The following is a 24,669-nucleotide window of genomic DNA, read 5'->3' as shown; positions in this document are numbered from 1 at the left end:
TTGAGATGATCATATGGTTTTTGTTTTTGATTCTGTTTACCTGGTGAATTTCATTTATTTATCTGTTAAGTCAACATATCCTTGCATCCCAGGAATAAAGCTTACTTGATGTGTTTATGATGTAATTCTGGATACAGTTAGCTAATATTTTGTTGAGGATTTTTGCATTTAGGTTAATCAGGGGTATTGACCTGAAGTTCTCATTTTTTTGCTGTGTCTCTACCAGATTTAGGTATTAGACTGATGCTGGCTTCATAGAATGAGCTAGGGAGGAGTATCTCCTCAATTTTTTGGAATAGCTTCAGTAGGAATTTAGTACAACTTGTAGAATTCAGCTGTGCATCCATCTGGTCCAGAGCTTTTTTTGTTTGGTAGGGATATGTGTGTGTATATATATATATATATTACAGATTCAATTTCAGGGCTCAACATTGATCTATTCAGTGTCTCAATCTCTTCTTGATTCAGTCTTAGAAGATGTGTGTTTCCAGAAATGTGTCTATTTCCACTAGATTTTCTAATTTGTGTGCATAGAATTTTTCATAGTTTTTTCTAAGAATCTTTTGCCTTTTGTGGGATTAGTTGTAATGTCATAATTGTCATTTCTGATTGTACTTATTTGGATTTTTAAATCTAGCAGTCTATTAACCTTGTTTATTTTGAATCAACTTTTGATTTAATTGATATTTTGTAGAGATTTTTGCATCTAAATTTTATTCATTCTCTAAATTTAGTCATTTCTTTTCTTCTACTGGCTATGGGGTTGGTTTTTTCTTTCCCCCTTAGTTCTTTTAGGTCCAAATTGAGATTGTTAATTGAGATTTTCTAACTTCTTGATGACGGCATTTAGTGGTATCAACTTTCCCCTTAACACTGGCTTTACCTGCATCTCAGAGATTTTGGTAAGTTGAGTTCTTATTTTCATCAATTTCAAAGAAATTTTTTATTTCTATCTTAATTTTTATGTTTACCAGGGAGTCATTCAGGAATAAGTTGTTTGATTTCCATGAATTTGGGTAGTACTGAGAGAGGTTCTTCATATAGATTTCTGTTTTTATTTCAGAATACTCTAAGAGTGTGCTTGAATGATTGTAATTTTTTTTAATTTATTCAGACTTGTTTTATGACCGAGCATGTGGTTGATTTTAGAATATGTTGTGTGTGCAGGTGAGAAGAATATATATTCTGTGTTTGTTGGGTGGAGCTTTCTGTAGATGTCTATTAGGTCCAATTGGCCAAGTGCCTAGTTTACGTCCACAATTATTTTGTTAGTTCTCTACCTTGATGATCTGTCTAATGCTATCAATGAGATGATGAAGTCTCCCACTGTTATTGTGTGGTTCTGTATGTCTTTTTGTAGTTCCAGAAGAACTTGTTTTATGAATCTGGAAACTCAAATGTTGGGTGTGTATATATTGAGAATAGTTAAGTCTCCTTGTTGAGTTGAACTCTATTATTAAGTAATGTCCTTCTTCATATTTATTGGTTTAAAGTGTGTTTTATCTGATATAAGAATAGCAACTCCTGCTCTTTGTTGTTTTTTATTTGCATGGTAGATTTTCCTCTATCCCTGTACTTTGAGCTTATCTGTATCATTCCACGTGAGATGGGTCTTAAAGTAACACATGGTTGAGCCTTGTCTTTTTATCCTGCTGACCACTCTAAGCCTTTTAAGTGGGCTGTTTAGTCCATTTACATTCAGGGTTAGAATTGCTATGTGAGATTTTGTCTTCATATTGTTAGCTGGTTGTTATGTAAAATTGGCTGTATAGTGGCTTTCTATTTCCTTTGGGAAATGTGCTTAAGTGTGCTTATGTGTTAGCAGTTGGTGTTCTTTCAGTGCCATGTTTAGCACTCCCTTAAGTACCTCTCGTAAGACTGGTCTAATTGAAATGAATTTCCTCTGTATTTTCTTGTCTGAGAAAGATTGTAATTCTCCTTCATTAATGAATTTTAGTTTGGCAGGGTATGAAATTCTTGGCTAGAATTTTTCTTTAAATATGACGAAAATATACTCCCAATCTCTGATGGTTTATAAAGTTTCTGCTGAAAGTTCTGCTGCTAGCCTGATGGCATTCCCTCTGTACATGACTTGACCCTTCTCTCTAGCTGCCTTTAACTTTATTCTTTTATTTTTTCTGTTTTTGCATTGTCCTTGGTGAATGTGATGACTACATGCATTGGTATAATCATCTTGCATAGCATCTAGCCAGGGTTCTGTCTATTGCTTAGGCTTGTATGTCAATCACTATAGCAAGATTGGAGAAATTTTTATGGACTATATTTTCAAACATAATTTCAATATTGTTTATTCTCTCTCAGGAATGCCAATGAGTCCTAGATTTGAACTCTTTACATAGTCCCATATTTCTTGGAGGTTTTATTCACATTTCTTAATTCTTTATTCTTGATTTTTGCCTGATTGAGGTAATTTAAAGCACTTGTCTTCAAGCTCATAGTTTCTTTCTTTGTTTTGGCATATTCTGCTGTTAGTAGTTCTAATTGTATCATGAAATTATTTTAGTATATTTTTTAACTCTAGAAGATCAGTTTGGCTCTTTTTAAAGTGGCTATTTTTTTCTTTTAGCTCTTGGCATTTTACTGGATATCTTGAACTGGGTTTCAACTTTTTATTGAATCTCAATGAACTTCCTTAACATCCAGATTCTGAATTTAATGTCTGTCACTTCAGTCACTTCTGCCTGATTAAGAATCATTGCTAGAGAGCTAGTTAACTCATTTGGAGATAAAAGAACATTTTTTTCTTTGTTTTATTGCCAGAGTTCTTGTGCTGATTCTTTCTCATCTGAGAGAACTGGTGCTTTTTTAACTATGGCGTAACTTGAGTATAGTCACTTGGCTTTGTTTCTGGATTTTTCAGAGAGCCAAGGCTTTGTGCAGGGTCTTTATTTGGGTCTGAATCCTTGCCATTGGTTGCACAAGGGAGAATATTAGCAAAGTGGCTTTGGGGTTGTAGTTTGGGCTTTTATCTGTTAGATGACACTTAAGAATAATGGGCAGTAGATAGGTTCTTAGCCACATAGCTCCTTTGTATTTCTGGTGTTTGCAGGTGTGCTCTGGAGTGCAGCAGGGAGAGTGGTGACGCGCCTCACCATGTTCCCTTTTGGGCCTTAAAGGAGCCCCCTCCAATCACTGGCACTGCACTTGTGTGTCCTTTGTTAGGTGTTCCAGGCTATGGAGCTCCCTCAACAGAAGCCACCGCAGGGAGATAAGCCATGCCTTTTCTGGGCCAGTCCTGTAGAGGGAGGCATTCCGGGCTCCTGGAGCAGCCTGTGGACCCATGAGCCTCATCCATGTCAGTGCACTGAGTGTGTGGGCTCCTCCCCCGTTTGAATATTTGAGTGCTGGCCACAGATGTCAGCGCTGCAGCCCTGGGACGAGTTGAGGCTTTTTGTTCTCCCCTCACCCCAAAGTTTGAGGCAACAGGGCAGTGACCTCAGCAGTGGCAATGGCAGTGGGCCTGTGAGTTTTCTCTGGGAGCTCTGCTCCACAGAAACAGACTCATGGCTGATCAAAGTGATCAGCTGGGATACAACAATTATGCTGCCGGCCTAAGCCATGGGGCCCTGCCTGGTGAAGAACAGGGGGTCTGGGAACTCATGGAGAGAACAGTCTGTCCTTCTCTCCTTAGGACAGTTAAAGCACACTATAGGAGCACAAAAACAATCAGAATGTTTGTTTCCTCTCTAGCTGGGGGAAGCAACGATGATTACCACCGTGGCAGCAATGACAGAAGACCTTTCAGTTGTCTTTGGGAGCTCCATCCCAGAGAAATGCAGGCTGCTACTGATTTAAGTAATCAAGTGTGATGGGGCAGCTGTAATGGGGGCCCAGGCGAGGAGGCCCTGCCTGGAGAGATATAGAGGAGGAGCAAACTGTTGTCCATCTGCTTCTCAGCACCATAGATATAGCCCCTATCCAGAGGTACACACAAGAGCCTGGGGGCCCTTGTTGGCAGGTCTATTGCTGTTGGCAACAGGATACTTAGAGATCCAAAGCCTGTGGGTCTCTGTGGAGGCTTGAGCAGTGGCTCTGTCCATACTCCAGGCAGCTCTCCATGTGGTTCTGTAGACCAGAGGGTTCATGAGGGATCTTCTATGCCAAGGATTGCAAAGTTCCTTGGCAGAAGTGTGAGTCCCCAGGGACACTCACTCACTCACCCCTTCCCCACAGCAGGAAGCCCCCCTCTCCCCCGGGCTCTGTGCCAGTACCTGTGGTTGGTTCTCCTGCCTTTCTCTTTTCTGTTCTCTGTGGGTCAATATTGCTTCCTTGATGAATTCCAACACAGCCTCCTGGGCGATCCACTTGAAAAGTTAGTGCTTATTTGTCATTCTGTCTCTTCTCTATGAGAACGGCATGCACTAGCTTCTTCTAATCAACCACCTTGGCATTTCTCTTCACTGGATATATTTGAAATATTATTTAACAGGCAGAATTATAGGCCTTGTTGTTGGATTTAATATGGGAATAATAAACTCATAAATGTTTAATGTAATTTTCTTCACTCTTATGACATTCTTTGAAATGCATATTTCATTATCAGGTCATGAGAATAAATACCAGAAGAAAAATTTATGGTTTTAAGTGTCATATCAATGTAAGCAGGACAGGAAAGTACAATCCACTATGGATTTTCAAAGCTGAATAATAGTCCTTCTTCAAAAAGCATGTTTTTCTTTTTAACATCTGAATAATGAGCTTGGCCTAAATCACCAATGTGGAACTCCAGAGAATAATTTAAATATAAAGAAAGTTTGATTAAACAAAAAGATTTTGTGTTTATTTCATAACAGAGGTAGAGGGAAACATTTTAATTAAGCAGCTTATTTTCACTTTGCACTTTGTCTTTCTTCCCTAGTCATCAAATAATTTTACTGATGCTTCATCAGCCCTGTTCATTTGATTTTTTCCCACGCATGGTAAGCAGCTGTTTATACTTTCTTAGTCCCAATTTTTTTCAGATGACTGAATTCACAAGGAGTACATTTGTTTTCACTGTGCCCGAGGCCCTGTTTTCTTACATGCAGTTTGATAAATCTTGGTTATTTCCTACCAGGTTCTTGATTATATAGTATCTTCCTTTTTTATATGGCTTTCTTATTTGTGAAATGATTTTTATTAAAAATGCACATGCAAGACAAATAGTTTGTTGTCCTGAATAATATTGAGACCCTGCATTTCATAAGTCTGAGAAAAGTCATTTTTAAACAAAGGGAGGTCACAAAATAAGAATTCAGGAGGCATTTTTTGAACCAGTAATACACATCACTCTGATACTCAAGTTTTTGGGGCTAAATAGAGAAAACAAGAACACAATTCCTTACCTTAAAGACCTTATTGACAATTAAATAATGTGATAAGAATAATATGAAAGGGCACTTCAAACTGTATTTTACAGGTGCCTCCAAATATGTAGTGTCCTTATGGGGTCCTTGGAAGTGTTATAGCACACTAAGATATATGAAGCGACAGTTCCACATTTATTGAAGAATCTACATAATAGTGAGCAGGATTAAAAGTAAGTTACTAAACCACATTTTCACAAGAATTGTTTTATTGCACTCTGCAGGAAGTATTATGGCACCTAGCTTAACTTCACATTTCTAACAGAATGGGGCTTTTTATTCAATTCTATATCCCTTTTTCTTATCAAGTAGAAAAAAGCTGACACTTTAAGCACAAGGCTGTTCAAGCAGTTATCATGCACAGAGTTTTGTGCTTAGAGCAGCAATTTTCAATCAGGAATGAATATCAGAGTTACCTAGGAAGCTTCTCAGGCTGCACACACCATGGACTCATCCCAAAGAATGTAGTGAAAAAGCGGATAGTTTAATTATTAATAATATGTTTTCTCAAATAAGCTCACCTAGTTTGAATCCTGGCTTTCTCATGATTGACCCACTACTTATGATATCTTGATTACTTAATGCAAAATGAATATGATCGTGGCATCTATAGTGCTAGATTAGCTGTTTTATTTCTTTCCAGATATAAATAAAGATGCATTTCAATGAAACTTTTTTTTTAAATAAAGTCATTCTGGGGACATTGCTTAGAAGAAAAAAGGTATATTGGCTCCTTGTATTAGTATTCATTTGTTATTATGACAAATATCACAAAGCTAAGCAACACAAATTGTCTTCATATGTTGTAGATCAGAGTATGACAAAGGTCTTAGGGGCTAATATCAAGGTATTTTCAGGGCTGTGTTTCTTTCTGGGTGCTCTAAACAAATTTTGTTTCCTTGTCTTTTCAAGCTTCTAAAGGCCCAGCTCTTTCATCTCCAAAGCCAGTAATATTGCCTCTCTCTGTCCTTTTTTTTCATACTCCCATCTCTCTCTGATTTTCTTTCACTTTAAGGCACTCTGTGATTGCACTGCGTTCACTTAGGTAATCCAGGATAATCTTTTTCCCTATTTTTAAATCTGCTGATTAGCAACCTAATTCTAACTGCAACCAGAATCCCCCTTTGCCATGTAAAATGTCATATTCATCAACTCTGAATATCAGCATGTGAACATTTTGGAAGAACCATTATTTTGCCTACTTGCCTACTTAATTTTTTTTTTTTTTTTTTTTTTTTTTTGGAAGGAGTCTCGCTCTGTCGCGCAGGCTGGAGTGCAGTGGCGCAATCTCGGCTCACTGCAAGCTCCGCCTCCCGGGTTCACGCCATTCTCCTGCCTCAGCCTCCTGAGTAGCTGGGACTACAGGCGCCTGCCACCACGCCCGGCTAATTTTTTTGTATTTTTAGTAGAGACGGGATTTCACTGTATTAGCCAGGATGGTCTCGATCTTCTGACCTCGTGATCTGCCCGCCTCGGCCTCCCATAGTGCTGGGATTACAGGCGTGAGCCACTGCGCCCGGCCGCCCACTTCATTTTTTAAGAAATGGCAGGTCTTGGCATCCCAGGCAAACTCTCAACATTTAGAGGGCATTGTGAATTCCTTTGACAGATTACACTATTGCAAAAACTGGCATTTTGTGGGAATTTGAGTGTTCATCACTGCTATCCAAAGTAATCCTCACTCAGAATATGGCTAAGACTCCTGCAGAGGTTACATTATATGAAAGATTTCCTTACAATTGTCTTATCAGCCAGGTGCGGTGGCTCAAGCCTGTAATCCTAGCACTTTGGGAGGCCGAGGCAGGCAGATCACCTGAGGTCAGGAGTTTGAGACCAGCCTGACCAACTGACTGGCATGGTGAGACCTGTCTCTACTAAAAATACAAAAATTAGCTGGGCGTGGTAGTGGATGCCTGTAATCCCAACTACTCAGGAGGCTGAGGTAGGAGAATCACTTGACCCAGGAGGCAGATGTTGCAGTGAGTCGAGATTGTGACACTGCACTCCAGCCTGAATGAGAGAGCAAGACTAAGACAAAAAAAAAAAAAAAAAAAAAAGTCTTGTGTGCTTCAGAAAGGTTCTTACAATGTGTACACAGTAACTTCAAAATATGTTACTCTTAAGTATGCATAATAAATTGCATTAAATTCTCATCACAGGATTCTTCTATTTTGTTCATCTCATACAATTAGAATTTAAATCATGTTTCAGGGTATTGGAAGAAGATAGATGATAGATAGATAGATAGATAGATAGATAGATAGATAGATAGATAGAGTCTGTAGGTATAATGCTAATTCCTGATCACAAAACAAGTTCCAGTATCCAGCTTAGAAAAAAAAGTGTTCATCAATTTTAGTAGAATTTTAAAGAGGCAGTGTATGATAATTAACATACACAGTAATCAGAACTGCATGATAAATATGACAACCAGAAGAAAATCATAAAGGGATTGAGATATTGACTTCATTATTAACTAAAAAAGCAAATGAATTTACTCCTTGCAGAAAATGAGACTGTGAATCCCAGTTAGATATTCCTCTCCCTTCCACCTCCTACTATTACCTTGATTAATTTTAATATAATGACTCATTCCATTGTTTAGTTTTACATGTGTTTGCTCTCAACTTCAATGATTTTCACTTTGACCTCACTTCAGTAAATGGCTACTATAGCCATACTTAAAATGCGTAGCTCACAATATATCAAAAAGTTACCTCAAAATGAATTAAAACCTAAATGTAAGAGCTAACACTATAAGAATCTTTGAAGAAAACAAAAGTGTTAATAACATATTTTAATTGAACATTTTTGTAATTATAGTAAATAAAAATAGAATAAATGCTTCTGTTCATTTAAATGATACTGTAGATGGTATTTTTGTCCCTACAATGTTGAAACCCTAACCCCCAATGTGACTATTTGGAGACAGGACTTTTAGCAGTAAATTAAGATTAAATGGAGGGAAGGAGCCAAGATGGCCAATTTAACACAGCCAGGAAGAGCTTCACCCACTGAGACAACAGATCATTAAGAAGACAGGCACACTCTGAACAGATCTTTGGAAAGAAGACATTGAGAGTGGACAGAAAGAGGACGCAGACCCTGGGCTGAAAGAGAAGGAAGCTGCAAACCCTGCACAGGATTGCCAACTAGCAGGAACAGTTGCTGTTGATCAGGCCATGGGCGCCCATCCCCTAAGGCTTGCCATACTCCTCTAGGAAACTTTAGGGTTTGTTGATTGCCAGACCTGGACAGAGTAGGGCTATCTAACCTGTTAGATGGGGCAAGTCTGATCTGAGCAATCACTGCCTGCTGTTCTATCTCTGGGTCCCTGCCTGGCCATATTTACTCGCAGTGAAACCTCAGCTGTCTCGGAGAGGAGTTTGCTGGTAGTCACCCTCATACCTCTTTTGCCCGCAGACTCTGCTTAACAGTCTGAGAGCTTTTGCAGGTGGGTCTCTGCTAGTGGGCACTTGCCCTCAGCTGGTCCCTGCTGCTTTGCTGGTGCATGCACACACTAAACCCATTGCTGTCCTACCACTGAAGTGCAAGCACACCTGGGATGAACCATCACCCCACTGGTGGTGCACACATGCAGAGGGACCCATGCCATTCTGCCAGTGCTGCGCTAAGGCACTTTTGCTAACAGCCTCCCATCATAGTGTTGTTGTCAGTGGTCTGGGAACACCTCAGCCCCTCCAGCACAGCACGAGTTTAACCTTGAGGGGCCAGGAAAAGAGCTGCAGGCCTGGTCACATCCTCTTAGGGGTAGATCAGGAAGCTAAGGAATGCTGAGCTGAGCTTTGGTCCCTGAAATCACTCAGAAACAAAGCCAGTTGAAAACCCAACTTTTACCATAGTCAAACTCTCAAGAGTATCAAAGAATATAAAAGTGAAAAGGTCCCTTCGTAGGACAGCAACTTCAAACCTTAAAGGAACATCAGCCCACACACATGAGAAAGGATCAGAACTCTGGCAACTCAGGCAAGAACTCTGGCAACTCAAAATAGCTAGAGTGTCTTCTTACCTACAAATGACCACACTAGCTCCTCAGAAATGGTTCTTAACCCAACTGAAATGGTTGAAATAACAGACATAAAATTCAGAATCTGGATGTCCATGAATATCATTGAGATACAGGAGAAAGCTAAAACCCAATCTAAGGAGTATAAGCGATCCAATAAAATTATATAAGAGCAGAAAACTGAAATAGCCACTTTAAGAAAGAACCAAACTGATTTCTTAGAACTGAATAGCCCACTACAAAAATTAATTAATATAATTGTAAATTTTAACAGGAGAATAGACCAAGCAGAAAAAGAACGTCAAAGCTCAAAGATTGGTTCTTCAAAACAACTTATTCAGACAAAAATTTGTAAAAAGCATCTAAAAAGTGAACAACACCTCCTTGAAATATCTGATTTTGTAAAGAGACCAAACCTACAACTCACTGCACCCCAGAAAGAGAGAGAAAGAGAGCAAGTAACTTGGAAAACATATTTGAAAATTTATCCACAAAAATTTCCTCAACCTCACCAGAGAGATCAACATGCAAATTCAGAAAATTCAGAGAACTCTTGCAAGATACTGTACAAAATGATCATCCCCATGACACATCGTCATCATATTCTCCAAGGTCCACACACACAAAAAATATTAATGGCAGCTAGACAGAAATGGAAGCTTACTTATAAAGGGAACTCCTTCAAGCTAATAGCCAGCCTTTCAGAAAAAAACCTTACAAGCCAGAAGAGTTTGGGGGCCCATATTCACCATTGTTTAAGAAAAGAAATTCCAGGCTGGGCGTGGTGGCTCATGCCTGTAATCCCAGTACACAAGGTCAGGAGATTGAGACCATCCTGGCTAATATGGTGAAACCCCGTCTCTACAAAAAAATACAAAAAATTAGCCAGGTGTGGTGGTGGGCACCTGTAGTCCCAGCTACTTGGGAGACTGAGGCAAGAGAATGGTGTGAACCCAGGAGGCAGAGCTTGCAGTGAGCCGAGATCGCACCACTGCACTCCAGCCTGGGTGACAGAGCGAGACTCCGTCTCAAAAATAAATAAATAAATAAATAAATAAATAAATAAATAAAAATAAGGAAAGAAATTCCAACCCAGAATTTCATAACCAGCCAAACTAAGCTTCATTAGTGAAGGAGAATACAATCCTTTTCAGAAAAGTAAAAGTTAAGGTAATTTATTACCACCACACCTGTGTGTGGTCATAATAAAAGACCTGCCACCACAAAAACACACTTAAGTACGTAGCCCTCTGACACTATAAAGCAAATATACAATTATGCTTACATAACAATCAGCTAACAACATGACAACAGTATCAAATCATCCCATATCAATATTAACTTTGAATGAACCGGGCTAAATTCCCCACTTAAAAGGCGCAGAGTGGCAAGTTGAATAAAGCAGCAAGACCCAATTTTATATTGTCTCCAAACACCCATTTCACATGCATTGACACACGTAGGCTAAAAGTAAAGGGATGGAGATAGATCTATCAAGCAAATGGAAAATGTAAAAGAGCAGAGGTTGCTATTTTTATTTCAGACAAAAATAGTTTAAATCAACAGCAATTAAAAAAAGACAAGGGTATTACATAATGATAAAGGATTAACTTCAACAAGACTTAACTATCTTAGGTATATATGCATCCAACACTGGAAAACCCAGATTCATAAAACAAATGCTTAGAAACATACGAAAAAGACTTATATAATCACACAAGTATAGTGGGAATCTTTAAAACCACACCAATAGTATTAGATACATCATTAAGACAGAACACTAACAAAGACATTTGACACCTAAACTTGACACTTTATCAAATGGACCTAACAGACATCTGCTAAACAAGCCTGTATTAGTCCATTCTCACAGCCCTATAAAGAAATAATCTGAGACTGGGTCATTTGTAAAGAAAAGAGGTTTAATTGCCTCATAGTTCTGCAGGCTGTACAGGAAGCATGGCAGTATCTGCTTCTGGGGAGGCTTCAGGGAGCTTTTACTCATGGTGGAAGGCAAAGCAGGAGCAGGCATCTTACATGGCAGGAGTAGGACCGAGAGAGAGAGAGAGAGAGAGAGAGAGGTGCTACAAACTTTCAAACAACCAAATATCATGATAACTCACTCACTTACTCACTATCATGAGAACAGCAACAAGGGGGATGGTGCCAACCCATTTATGAGAAACCACCCCCATGATCCATTCACCACCCACAGGGTCCCACCTCCCAACTGGGGATTACAATTTGATATGAGACTTAGATGGGAACACAGATTCAAACCATATCAATGCCACACAACAACATTCTTCTCATCTGCACATGGCATATACCCTAAGATTGACCACATATGCAGTCATAAAGCAATTTTCACAAATTCAAACAAATTGCAATCATATCAACCATAGTCCCAGAACACAGCACAGTAAAAATAGAAATCGATACCAAGAAGATCTCTCAAAAACATACAATTACATGAAAATTAAACAACCTGCCCCTGAATCACTTTTGGGCAAAGAATGAAACTGAAGAAGTCAAAAATATTTTGAAGAAAATGAAAATGAAGATACAGCATACTAGAAACTCTAGGACATGGGTAACGCAGTGTTAAGAGGAAGTTTATAATGCTAAATTCCTATATCAAGAAGTTAGAAATGTTGCAAATTAACAACCCAACATTATACCTAGACAAACTAGAAAACCAAGAGTAAATCAACCCCAAAACTAACAGAACAAAAGAAGTAACCAAAATTAGAGCTGAAATGAGTGAAATAGAGACAAGAAAATCCATAGAAAAGATCACTGAAACTCTAAGTTCAAGTTTTGAAATAAGAAATGAGATATATAGACTGCTATTCAGGCTAATAAAGAAGATTCAAATAAACACATTAAGAAATGACAAAGGCAACATTACCAGTGACCTCACAGAAATACAAAACACCCACAAAAGCTATTAAGAAAACCCCTTGGTCTCTTTCCAAAGGCTCCTAGACCTGATAAACAACTTCAATAAAATGTCAGAATATAAAATTGATGTGCACAAATTAGTAGCATTTCTAAATACCAGTAATATCTGAGCTTAGAGCCAAGTCAAGAACACAATACCATATGCAATAGCCACAAAAAGAAGAAAATACATAGGAATACACCTAACCAAGGATTTGGAAGATCTCTGGAATAAGAATTACAAAACACTGCTGAAAGAAATCAAGATGATACAGCAAGATGGAAAAACATCCCATGCTCATGCTTAGGAAGAACTAATATTGTTAAAAAAATGGTCACACAGCCCAAAGCAATTTACAGATTCAGCACCATTCCTATCAAATTATCAATGTCATTTTTCAAAGAATTAGAAAATCACATCTAAAATTCATATGGAACCTGAATTTTAGGGTTCCTCAAAACAGCCTGAACACCCAAAGCAATCCTAAGCAAAGAGAATTAAACTAAAAGTATCACATTACCCAAGTTCAAACTATACTACAAGGCTACAGTCTCCAAAACAGCATGGTACTGCTATAAAAACAGACACATAGACAGCTTAGAGAAACCAGAAATAAAGCCACGTGCTTCTAATTATCTCATCATTGATAAAGTTGACAATATCAAGCAATAGAGAAAAGATTTCCTATTCAATAAATGGTGCTGGAATAACTGACTAGATATATGCAGAAAGCTGAAGCTAGATCCCTTCCCTTCACTATATGCAAAAATCAACACATGATGAATTTAAGATTAAATGTAAAATCTAAAACTGTAAAAACCCTAGAAGAAACCATAGGAAATTCCATTCTGGTCATTGACCTTGGCAAAGATTTCATGATGAAGACTCCAAAAGCAATTGCAACAAAAACAAAAATAGACAAGTAGTATCTCATAAAACTAAAGAGCTTCTGCACAGCCAAAGAAACTATCAACAGAGTAAATAGACAACCTACAGAGAGGGAGAAAATATTTGTAAACTATACATCCCACAAGTTATAATAACCACTATATATAAGGAACTTAAATCACCAAGAGAAAAACAAAACAAAACAAAAATTTAAAAATGGGCTTGAAAAGACACTTCTTAAAAGAACATACAAGCAGCCAACAAGCACATGGGAAAAAAAAAAACCATCACTAATTATTAGAGAAGTGTAAATTAAAACTACAATGTGATACCACGTCGCACCAGTCAGAATGGCTATTATTAAAAAGTCAAAAAATAGTAGAGCAGATGTTGGTAAGGATGCAGAGACAAGGGTGTGCTTACATACTACTGTTTGGAATGAAAATTAGTTCGGCCATTGCGAAAAGTATTTTGAAAATTTCTCAAAGAAAAACAGAACTAACAATCTTATTGTAATGACCTGGCAATCTCGTTACTAGGTATTTACCCAAAGGAATATAAATTGTTCTACCATTTATGTATTATAAAATTTTCTGAATTTATCTATCATAAATAAGACAATAAGACAGATTAAAAATATAAAAAAGTACATCTACCTGTATAAAGATTTCAAATCATATTTTAAATAAAAAGATGCATATGAGAATAATTTCTGTTTAAAATGGGGATATGTATACATACATATATTTGTATTTCTAAGTGTAATATATTTCTTTATAAAATTCATATTTCAAAATATGAAGGCAAATAAAACCAAAGTAAAGCAACTACACACAGGCAAACTTGTGTTTTCAATTATTTCACTTCTTGTTACGGCTTCTGTGGCTTGATTTTGGTTTCTCATTATCTCCTGCCTGCATTATTATATACTTTATTGTGTAACATGTTATAACAATATTACTCTAACCATCTCACTGAATCTAACTTTACTCTTCCCATATTTATGACACTGCTAACACTTTGACATATCAACAAAAACAGTAAGAAGAATAACTCATACTTGTATTAGCTTTACTGTATGACAGGTTTTAAGTGATTTTGATATACTAACTAATTCAATTCTCACAACTCAATGATATAGGTAATATTTTATTCACCATTTATAGACATTAAAATCAATGCACAAAAAATTTATATAAACTAAGGTCTGATAATTTGTTATTGGCAAACGTGGTTTCCAAATCCTGACAATGTGGATTCAGAGCCCATACTTTTCATCACTACATCATGGGTCATGCCACCAAACTGCTGAAAATCTTGTTATGGTTTCCAATATTACAATATAACATTCTTAAGCATGGAATACAATATTTTTCACATCATGGCCCATGCCTATCCCATAGAGCTAATTTCCCATCAAAGCAAAAAACACTTCCCTCACTTCACTTGTGTTTCAATGATAATACACAGATTATTTATCACTCCAGATTCTCCTTTTAACTGTGCCTTTACAAACAAGGCACGTTCTATAAAGAATATCCAGGCTAAAGTATTCTCCTTAGATAATATTTCCCCTGCCAAATACTGTTAATCAGTCTTTTAAAATGCTATTTTTATATCTTTTACCTTACTATTTCATTATTCTGTCATTAGGTATTATGATTTGTTTGTTTGCATAATAATTTCAACTGAAAAAAGGTTTATTCCTTTTTAATTTGTTTCTGTATCTTGATTGTTTAATATGAAACCATGCATATAGTAGGCATATCATAAATGCTTTATTGTACTAAAAATAAGCACACCAGGAACTTTTAGAATTGCATTATTACCCTCAATATTAAGGTACTGCTTTAATATTTGTATCTGATTAAATGTGGATGGCTCTATAGGAAAATAGGCTGATTGCTAGAATAAATTCACTGTATTGATTCTCTTATTTATTCATACTTTTGTAATATTTATGAAATATTTACATTGTTCAACCTAAAGTGACACAGAATTTAAAAATTTTAGAATAAATTCAAATAATTACAACAGAAAACAATGTAGGCTCTAAGAAATATTCAGCTTAAATTTTATGAAGTTTCAAATGAGAGAGTGTTTTTATTTAACAAGTAAAAATGAGATAGCCTCTTAAGTATGGTTTATTCTACAACATGTTCTAAAAGTCCGTAAGTTATTTAGAGATGTAGTTATATGGAACAACATTTCATTCAAAGAGAGAAAAACATTAAAATAAAACCCTTCAGATGCAAAACTATTCAGGTATGAATGGAAAACAAAGGTTTATTTATTGTAAGTGTGCATATGATGGGAGTAGGGTGGGATAGATAAAGAAATGAGTGACAACAGGCAAAATATAAAAGGAAGGGAATATACCTAGAACAGCTTCTGATTTTCTGTTAATTTATATAAGTGAGAAAATAAAAAATCTAATTGTCAATCCTTGCCTTGCTTATAATATTTTGCATCACTATTTTCCCATCACACTGTAAAATTTTGAGAATTAATAAGCTTTAAGTGCTTCCCCATCCCAGTTGTTTAATTTCCTTTAATGATGCTTAACAGTCATCAGGGACATGAATAAATACCTTCAGGCTCAAACGCACACATGTGCACAACGTGCACATACACACACACACCCCCTATATTGCAGCACTAAAATGTCTTATTAAAAAAACTTAGCAAAAGAGACATTAAAATCTTGGCCACTTTTGCACTCAAATATTACTATTTGTGATCTCTAAATAAGATTTTAAGAAGAGTTTTGGTCCTCAAGCCACGGTATATGCATTGTTGCATTTGTCTCCTCTTACATCCAAAATATGAAGACCACAGAGCTTTGCTAAGGAAGAGCATAGGAAGAGTTTTTATTTTTGGCATGTGACATGACAGGACAGCAAGGGCACTTGTGACATCAGGAAGCCATAGGAGATTCTGAGAGCCTGTCTCATCTGTGACCTCCTGTGAGTTTTGAAAATGCTGGAGCAAAAATTCCTGGCAATGAGCATTAACCTGGCCCCATTTCCTTGGGGATGCTGTCAGTTCTGCTAGTTCTTTAGGTTTGCTGGCTGACTTCTTCAGCCTCACTCTTGAAGGTCTTTTAGACCTTCTCTTAGAACTTGAGCTATTGTCAAGATGTTTTCTGAAATTATTGGTGGCACATTAATAGTACTAGTCTGAATGTAATGACTGTAGCTATTGGAGTTAAAGAACCACTGCAGGGAAAGTTCACAGAAATTCTCCCTTCTTAGCTGCCTTCTATAAATTATTTGAATAACAGTACATGGCTTATATATAGCTATCATGTACTGAACAAGTTTAAAAGGAGCCAGATGCTGTACTGAGTCACTTACTAATCATGAAACTGCTGAAACATTGCTATTATGGACCCTTTACTAATTGAAGGAAATGAGGCTTAGAAAGGTTAAATAACTTGTTCAAGTTCACTCAGTTAAAATGAAAAAAAAAAAAAAAAAACCCTGAGACTATTATGGAAAATTCATCGTGTAGGGGTAATGTTATCACAATAATACCATTGTTATGATATTTATATAATTATTATTTTCCTCCAACTAAGATTTTATCAGCCTCATGATCATTGCTTCGGTAACGAGATTTGGTAGGAAGTAAATAAATATAGGAGTCTTTCCGGCTTTGGTTTTGAAGTTCTGAAGCCTTAAGAAACTCTAGGTAAGAGAGAGATTTGGGAGAAACATAAAAAGTGAAACTAGGCCTCCTCCTCCTGCTAATGCCCCACTTCCTTAAAATAAAAGACTGCACAGAGCTACAGAGAGAGAGAGAAAGAGATGAAAAGAGACAAGTCCTATCTGTTGTTTCCTAGGTAGGGCCCAAGGAGGCAGCAACACTTTGTGATGGAATGACTGACAAGAAAAGTGCGTAGACATAGATACTTTCACAGATATTACTTATATTTATCATTTTGGGTAGCAAATTAGACTTTCAATAATGATGGTACCAAAATCAGTGGTGCCTTGTTGAGGGAGTCCACGTTTGAAACTACGTTTGGATTACATTCCTGCCAGCTGGCTGTTTTGCTCATGAGATAATTAAGTCCTGTGCTGAGTGAAGAACACTCACAAATATATGAAGATTGGGTTAGCTTGTCCACTGGGTTAGTAAGAACACTTTTATCATGGGAAATGATCTTGTGTTCATTCAGAAAATGTATCAAAAAAGAAAACCTAACTTATACATGTAAAATATTTTATACTCATTGCAAAAGAGGTTTCCAAATTAGTGATAAATATATGAAAAAGTGTTCAATTTCATTAATCACCAGAGACTGCAAATTAAAATCAAACTGCTATACATATACCAATACAATCACACAAAAATGACTAAATGAAAATTCCTACTATGAACATCAGAGTTGAACAGGTGAAATATTCAGAACTTTCATACATGGTTTGTGGGAACTTAAATTAGTATAACCAATTTATAAAATGGGTTTGTCAAAGCTACTCAAATACTCCTTACCATAGAATTGATTAATGGTATACTCATACAAGGAAATACTATAATATACTGAGAGAGAATAATTTATAATATGTACAACAATCTTGCTAAACCTCACAAACATAATACGTGGTGAAAGGAGACAAACTCAAAATAGTATGTATTATATAGTTAGTTACATTGATAAAAATACAAAATGGGCAAAACTATTATAATAACTAATTATAAATTATTAGTGAGAAAATCAGTTAAGACAGGGAGGGAGAAGTAATTGGAGGGAAGCATAAAGGGAGCTCCTGAGGTCCATTTAATACAAAATTTTTTATAAAATTATGTTCTGGTTGTTATAATTTATTGATGTATATACTTGGTATCATACTTATCATTTCCTATATATTATAATTCTCCATAAATTAAAAAAAAAAACTAATTCAGAGAGTATTTTTCCAGAGAATGATGTTATAAATTTTTTTTAGTTCTAAATGGGACAATTGTTAGGTAGACTTAGTTGAGAATTTTATCTCTAGTCCTCCCATAATTTCTCTCATGGATCTGTCTGGACCAGTATTCCACGTTCTTTGGACTTAATATGGAACTGGATTAAGTACTCAATAGTTCTACATAGCTGTGGGTTTTAATCTTTCTCCAGAACAGAAATACCCACCTTCAGTCAAGTTGTTCTAGGTGTTACAGGTAATGGTGGTACCAAACCCTCTAGCGTAGTGACTGATGTCATAGGTATGCTATGTTAGTCATATATTCTTATTAGTTTGCCTATTGACTTTATCATTTGGAATAACTAATTCAACAAGCTAAAACCTGACTCTTCAATGTAATAAAACAATCTTAGATATCTGATCCTTCTGCTAACTATGATAAGTACCATTACCACTTTGCTTTTGGTGGAAAATTGTAGCCACCTCTGCTTGTCAATACTTAGTCCCTTCCAGTACAATTGAAAATGGGGAGCCTATGTTTTAATTGAAGATCTCCCCACCAGCATACACCGTATGGCAAAACTGCATAGGACTATTAAGATTCTGACACACAAATAATTCATCCAAATTAGAATGAAGTTCAAGTCTTTCAAATCTCTCTCTCTCTTTAAATTAGCCATTTTTAGAGGGAGCATAAGCACATGATGAATCCAAAACATTTCCATCTCCCAAGTTTTTTAAGTAGCTTTTACTATATTATGTAAACATGTTTCTGTCCCACAATATCTATAGTACAGATTTAGATCTACGTTTGCTTTAGCTAAGCCATAAAGTAAAACTGCAGCTGTCTACCAGAGCCAGAATGCTGCATACATAACATTGTGTTAGGACATCTGTATCAGTATATTCTGACTGAAGCAAAATTAAACTCAATCTTTCTTGGTCCAGCACACTCAGATACTATTTGCAAGATTGTAGATACTACAGATGAGCCAGTGACATTGGGGTATAATCTTTCTCTCATCTACTATAATTTTCTTTTTAATACCCAGACTATGTTGGGCTCAAAGTTCGGCAATTGTGTGAGCAAGAAGAGGTTGTAGAAATTGAAAAAAAAAGTATGTTGAATTTCTATTCTTCATTCATATGTACTTTTTAATACTATAATTTTATTTATATTTCTTTCTGCAGGGGTATGATAGGCAAAGGGCTATTCTTTTATCCATGGGGAGAGAATCTTCAGTCTCATGGTGACTCCCAGGTGCAAGGTAAGCTGGAAAAAAAATGACCTTATCAAAGGATTTAAAGCAATCATGATTATTTTTCTAGGCCTGGAGACATGGCAGTTCTGAGTGAAATTGGGCTTTTCTGCAAAGTGGGGGAAAAAGTGTAGGGTAGTATTAGAGGCAAACAATAATCAATGTGTGCAACATCATGGCATTTATATTTATCATGTTCATACAAGAAAGGGAGAAGGCAATATTGAGAAATCTTGTATAGAATTTATTATTCACTTATGTATTTAATTTCCCATCAATCATAACCTTCATTTCTTCATTTGGTATAATGGATTTCAGTGAGTGAGTATTTTTTTTTTCTTTTGGAGACAGAGTCTCACTCTGTTGCCAGGCTGGAGTGCAGTGGCATGATCTCAGCTCACTGCTATCTCGGCCTCCCAGGTTCAAGAAATTCTCTTGCCTCAGCCTCCTGGATAGCTGGGACTACAGGCACAAGCCACCATGCCCAGCTAATTTTTGTATTTTTAGCAGAGACGGGGTTTCACCATGTTGGCCAGGATGGTCTTGAACTCTTGACCCTGTGATCTGCCCACCTTGGCCTCCAAAAGTACTGGGATTACAGGCATGAGCCACCATGCCCGGTCTAGTGAGTATTCTTAAAATCTTTTCCATCTTCTTTGAAACTACTGTCCATGTACATGTTGCCAAAATTATAATAACTGGATATTATTTTTCTGTCTTTTTTAACTGCAAGTTGAGTGTGAAGTTTGAGGATTGCATGAGGTGAATTGACAGATTCACTGATGGAGAATGCAGTGGTCTGTGGAATCTGGGCTCTGTAATGTCCCTGATTTTTGAAATGCCATGTACTAGGACTAACTTCACAAATCTGATAATGGAGTTTACCCATTCTCTACTTCAGTGCTATTCCCTAAAAGATGGAAAGCTTAGTGGCCTTTTTCTATGCTTGATGAGGTACAATGTAGGTATGCAGAAGGTTCTCAAAGGTTTGCCCTTGACTCATGTACCGGTTTCTATGTTGATGGGGGAAGTGTGATGATTTTGTTGACTTACCTTCTTCCCCAGTTTCTGCTTGTTTGAAACCACAGCTTTTCTATATAAGGTTAACATACACTAGCATTTTTCAGCTTATTTCCTTGGCAAGAAGTTTAGGCATAGGTTTATAAATATTTTTTAGTTCATAATATTCTTGCTCTTATTGTTTTATTATTGTTATTATTTTGGTTAGTTTTAGTTAATTTTTTATTACATTAAATATTCGGGGAAAGAAATGCTGTCAACCTGCTATATACAACACCATCTTTGCAAAAATGTCTTCTGATCAAATCATTTTTCTGTGTATTTTAAGTAATAATACATTAAACAAAGTTGCAAATTTTTTATTAAAATACTTTGAAATTCATCTCCTTGTATTCCTACTGACAACATTCTAGAAGACCCTTTAACTCAAAACAATATATGTGCAATGACTTTATGAGGGTTCTGCATGCTTTAAGTTTTTTTCCATTATTCCTCAAGATCTGTAATAATTTTATTGCTCATCAGATTAATTTTTAGCCTGGAATTTATGGACTTCAGTAGAACTTGTCTTCCATTGTTTTATATCCTGTTGTTTTTTCCTCCCAAGGAAGGCAAGAATATAGTAATTTGCATGTGAACTCAGCACACCTGATAAGGGTACATTAAGTGCTGTGGTAAATCAGAACCTGGGTCATATCAAGGACTAGCAATAATGAGCACTGAAATACAGTTATAACAAATTCTACTGAAGCACTAAGGGGATATATGGATGCTGCCACACTTTTCGCTACTGTTTGTATCTTAATTGAAAACTGTCTTTCTCTGTAATAAGTACTGCCTTTCATCCAAAGGTCTACTTGAGTTATTTCACTCATGAAACCTATTTGAAATGTTACAAATTCTGAACCATCTTCTGAACTCCTGTAAACATTATGTGTCTAAGCCACTTATTTGATATTTATCGCATGTTCTCTTTTATGAATATTTATTTTATAAACATATGTTTATAAGTATATAAATTTATGAATATATATATTTGCGAGCTCTCTTAACATGTGCTGTGTTTTTTTTATTGCAGTGCTATGTGTCTTATAGCTCTGTGGTATATTCAGGTTCTAACACTAGACATTGTACACAGTTGGCGTTCAGCCAGTATTTGATGATGGTGAAGATAATGTATAGTTTTATTTTGCTTCTGAAGGAGAAATATGAGTATGTCCATAAATAAAAACAAAATGTCTCTAAAAACATATATAATATTCACATTAATAAAAAGGACCTGAGTGGGAACATTAAACTCTCAAATTCTTATTTTTCATCACTTTAACTTTTGGGACATCCTTGTTCCTAAGGTACTCTAGAGCTAAGGGGTAGTGGTTTACTGGATTAGATGTATAACAAGGGCAGAAAGCTTTATGCTTATCATAAGTGGCAAGAAATGTCATTTTTTTCCTATGTTGATAAAATCACAGATCTCATGACATTGCAAACTCAAAAATAGCATAAGAATTTTCTCATGAAACTTTTATGAAGTATTACTTAAACACTAAAATATGCCTTCAAAGGGGTTGAAGTAGTGATGAGCAAAATGCTCCCCCCCCCCAAAAAAAAAAAAAAAAAAAAAAAAAAAGAAAGAAAGAAAGAAAGATGACGGATGTGGATTTAAGGAAGGATTCAGCTATATCACAAACCCAATATGGAGAGAATAATAGAAACTAATGAGTGACTAAAACCAGAAAATAAATGATTTAGAAATGTGGTTAATCTTTCTATTTGCACAAGCAAAGCTACCAGGCATCATAGTGCATGTCTGTAATCCCAGCTACTTGGAAGGCTGAAGCAGGAGAATCACCTGAACCCGAGAGGCGAAGGTTGCAGTGAGCTGAGATCATGCCACTGCTCTCCAGCCTGGGCGACAGAGTGAGACTCCGTCTCAAAAACAAAATAAATAAATAAAATAAAAGTGCCTTCTTTTCCTTATCTCTTTCTTATTGTCACTCTTATTTTACAACTCTCTTTTGTTGTTATTTCTCCTTGTCCTCAATTGAAATATTAGAAATATTACCTTTTAATAATTGTTCTATGAAGGGAAAAGAACACAATACGCCTCTTATAAAACAAATTTTCTTTAAAACAATTTCTTCCTTAATATTAAACCAATGCACTTCTGTTAAAGGGAAATAATCCTAAGGAGAGATGCAACTAATGTACTCTTAGAGTTTAGAGAATGAGAGGCGTCATTTATTTGGTTTGTGGGGAAAGAAATAGGGGGATCAGAAAAATTGTGTAAAAGGGCATTATTAGTGGTTTTCCTTGAAGTGTAATAAAATTGAAATATGCAGAAATCGATTCCTACATAGAAGGAAGGTCATTCCAAATACAGCCATCAGTCTAAAAAAGGCAAAATAAAGAAAAAGTTCATGTCACACACAAGAAAGTATTCCATTAGGCTCGGTTATAGGTTGAATTATGTCTCCCAAAAAAGTCTTACACTGAAATCTTAACCACCAATAACTCAGAATTTGACCATGTTTGAAAATAGGGTCTTTACAGTAGTAATTAAGTTAAAACAAGGCCATTATTGTGGGACCTAATCCAATATGACTTGTGTCCCTAAGAGGGTATTTGGACACACACATGAACAGAAGGAAGAGGAACTTCAGGGAAAAGATGGCCATTTACAAGTCAAGAGGAGAGGCTGGAAACAAATGCTTTCTTCGCAGCCCTCAGAACAAGCTAACCCTAGCAACAATTTGGTCTCAGGATTCTAACCCTCAGAATTGTAAGAAAATAAATTTATGATGATTAAACCACACAGTCAATAGTACTTTGTTGAGACAGCCCTAGCATATTAATGCAGGCACCTTATGAGCTGATTTTAAGTGGTACATGGCTGTCCATTTTTAACTCAAGTTTATGTGTTTATTATAATGTATACTAAAAATCAATGAATAAGTATGATTTCTAACCCAATCTAAATTAGAATATTATTAATGCTATTAATTTTAACAAGGCAATAGTAAATAAAAGTAGATGAAGGAGGGATTTATTTAAAATCATTATAAATACAAATATATAAAGTACAAAAAATGTTACATAAATAGTAAACAAAGCTCTTTGAGGATGGTAATGCTAATAAAGTGCTTAAAATTCTGGACACAGTTAAAAATATTAAAGGTAACTCAGCCTATACTCAGCATTCTTAGAATTATTTTAATTTTTGTATTTTAAAATAGCACTAAACATCTTCCACAGGTAAGGAGTTGTAATTTGTTAATGTATGAATCTGAATCACATGTACTGTGAAGCTAGTAGGTACAAATAAGATAATAAACTAAAGAAGAAATATAACAAGCTGACAGGATTGGCATATAAGAGCTGTTATAATACTGTTTAAGCCTTCTCTTTAAGAGTTACAAGGTCATATAAATTTGTATGTATGCTTCAATTAATTAGATGACATCAGCATATTTGTCAGTTTAGAAATTTAATGAGTCCTTTGTTTTTTCTACATTCCCCTGCTTAGCACAATGCATAGCTTGATTCTTTTGTCTTAATTTAACTGAAGAAACATACCTAATTGATATGAGCATCTACTATTTTGATTTATAGGAATAGATACTGTTATTGAGAATAGCTTATAATGATGTCCAAATTATGAACTAGGAAGTTTGGAATTTAATAGTTTTTCAATAAACTGGTTGAAGTTTCTTTTCAGTGAAGGAAGCACATATTCTTAGCTAATGCAGAAACTCTGATGCAATATGACCTGTGATGCAATATGTCAAAGATCACAGGGAAGAAACTAAGTCAGATGATAAAAGTGCTGTTGAATAGCATAGGCTAGACAAAGAGTTTGAAATCATTATATTCTGATGAAAACATTAACAAGGAAGTTTGGAGAGTGTCTTGAAATATATCCTGGTACTCTTCTGGGGTGAATGACAACAGAGTGTAATAAAATACCTGTATCTGTGAGCTCGGAGAAGGAATGGACAAGGAAAGAAAGCTAAGAAAGAGCAAAGGGAGAGTAGAGGTGCACTGTAGTTCAGAAAAATTTGTCTTTTGATTGGAGCTGCTTCAAAACCTAACTGTAGACTGATAGGAAAACAAAACATGGTTTATACACTTTAATACAAACTTAAAATACTTTTACCTCTGTGGATTTAATTTTATCAAACTCAACAAGGAAAAAGGAAGCTCCAATAGAAAAATTTACCCTCGTTTTCTTTTCCTTTCTCTCAGATTT

General features: G+C 36.0%; 1 long non-coding RNA gene across 1 annotated transcript in view, besides 1 other annotated feature; it reads left to right on the top strand.

Annotated features, from left to right (window-relative positions):
• Positions 1–735: 735 nt before the first annotated feature.
• Positions 736–24,669, top strand: part of LOC107984378 (uncharacterized) — a 39,568-nt gene continuing 15,634 nt past the window's right edge. The window contains exons 1-2 of the long non-coding RNA XR_001748059.1: positions 736–902; positions 19,333–19,409. This is a non-coding gene — a long non-coding RNA (uncharacterized LOC107984378). The remainder of the gene's footprint in view (positions 903–19,332; positions 19,410–24,669) is intronic.
• Positions 3,155–3,449: an enhancer, noted in NCBI's record as "tiled region #1695; HepG2 Activating non-DNase unmatched - State 13:Ctcf, and K562 Activating non-DNase unmatched - State 24:Quies". NCBI's record gives its function as "activates a minimal TATA promoter and a strong SV40 promoter by Sharpr-MPRA in HepG2 and K562 cells {active_cell/tissue: HepG2 | K562}" and the evidence as "EXISTENCE:reporter gene assay evidence [ECO:0000049][PMID:27701403]".

The sequence above is a fragment of the Homo sapiens genome, chromosome 11 (genome assembly GCF_000001405.40).
Source record: "Homo sapiens chromosome 11, GRCh38.p14 Primary Assembly".
Taxonomy (NCBI): Eukaryota; Metazoa; Chordata; class Mammalia; order Primates; family Hominidae; genus Homo; species Homo sapiens.
The sequence above is the reverse complement of the archived record's forward strand: the minus strand, read 5'-3'. Positions and strand labels throughout refer to the sequence as shown.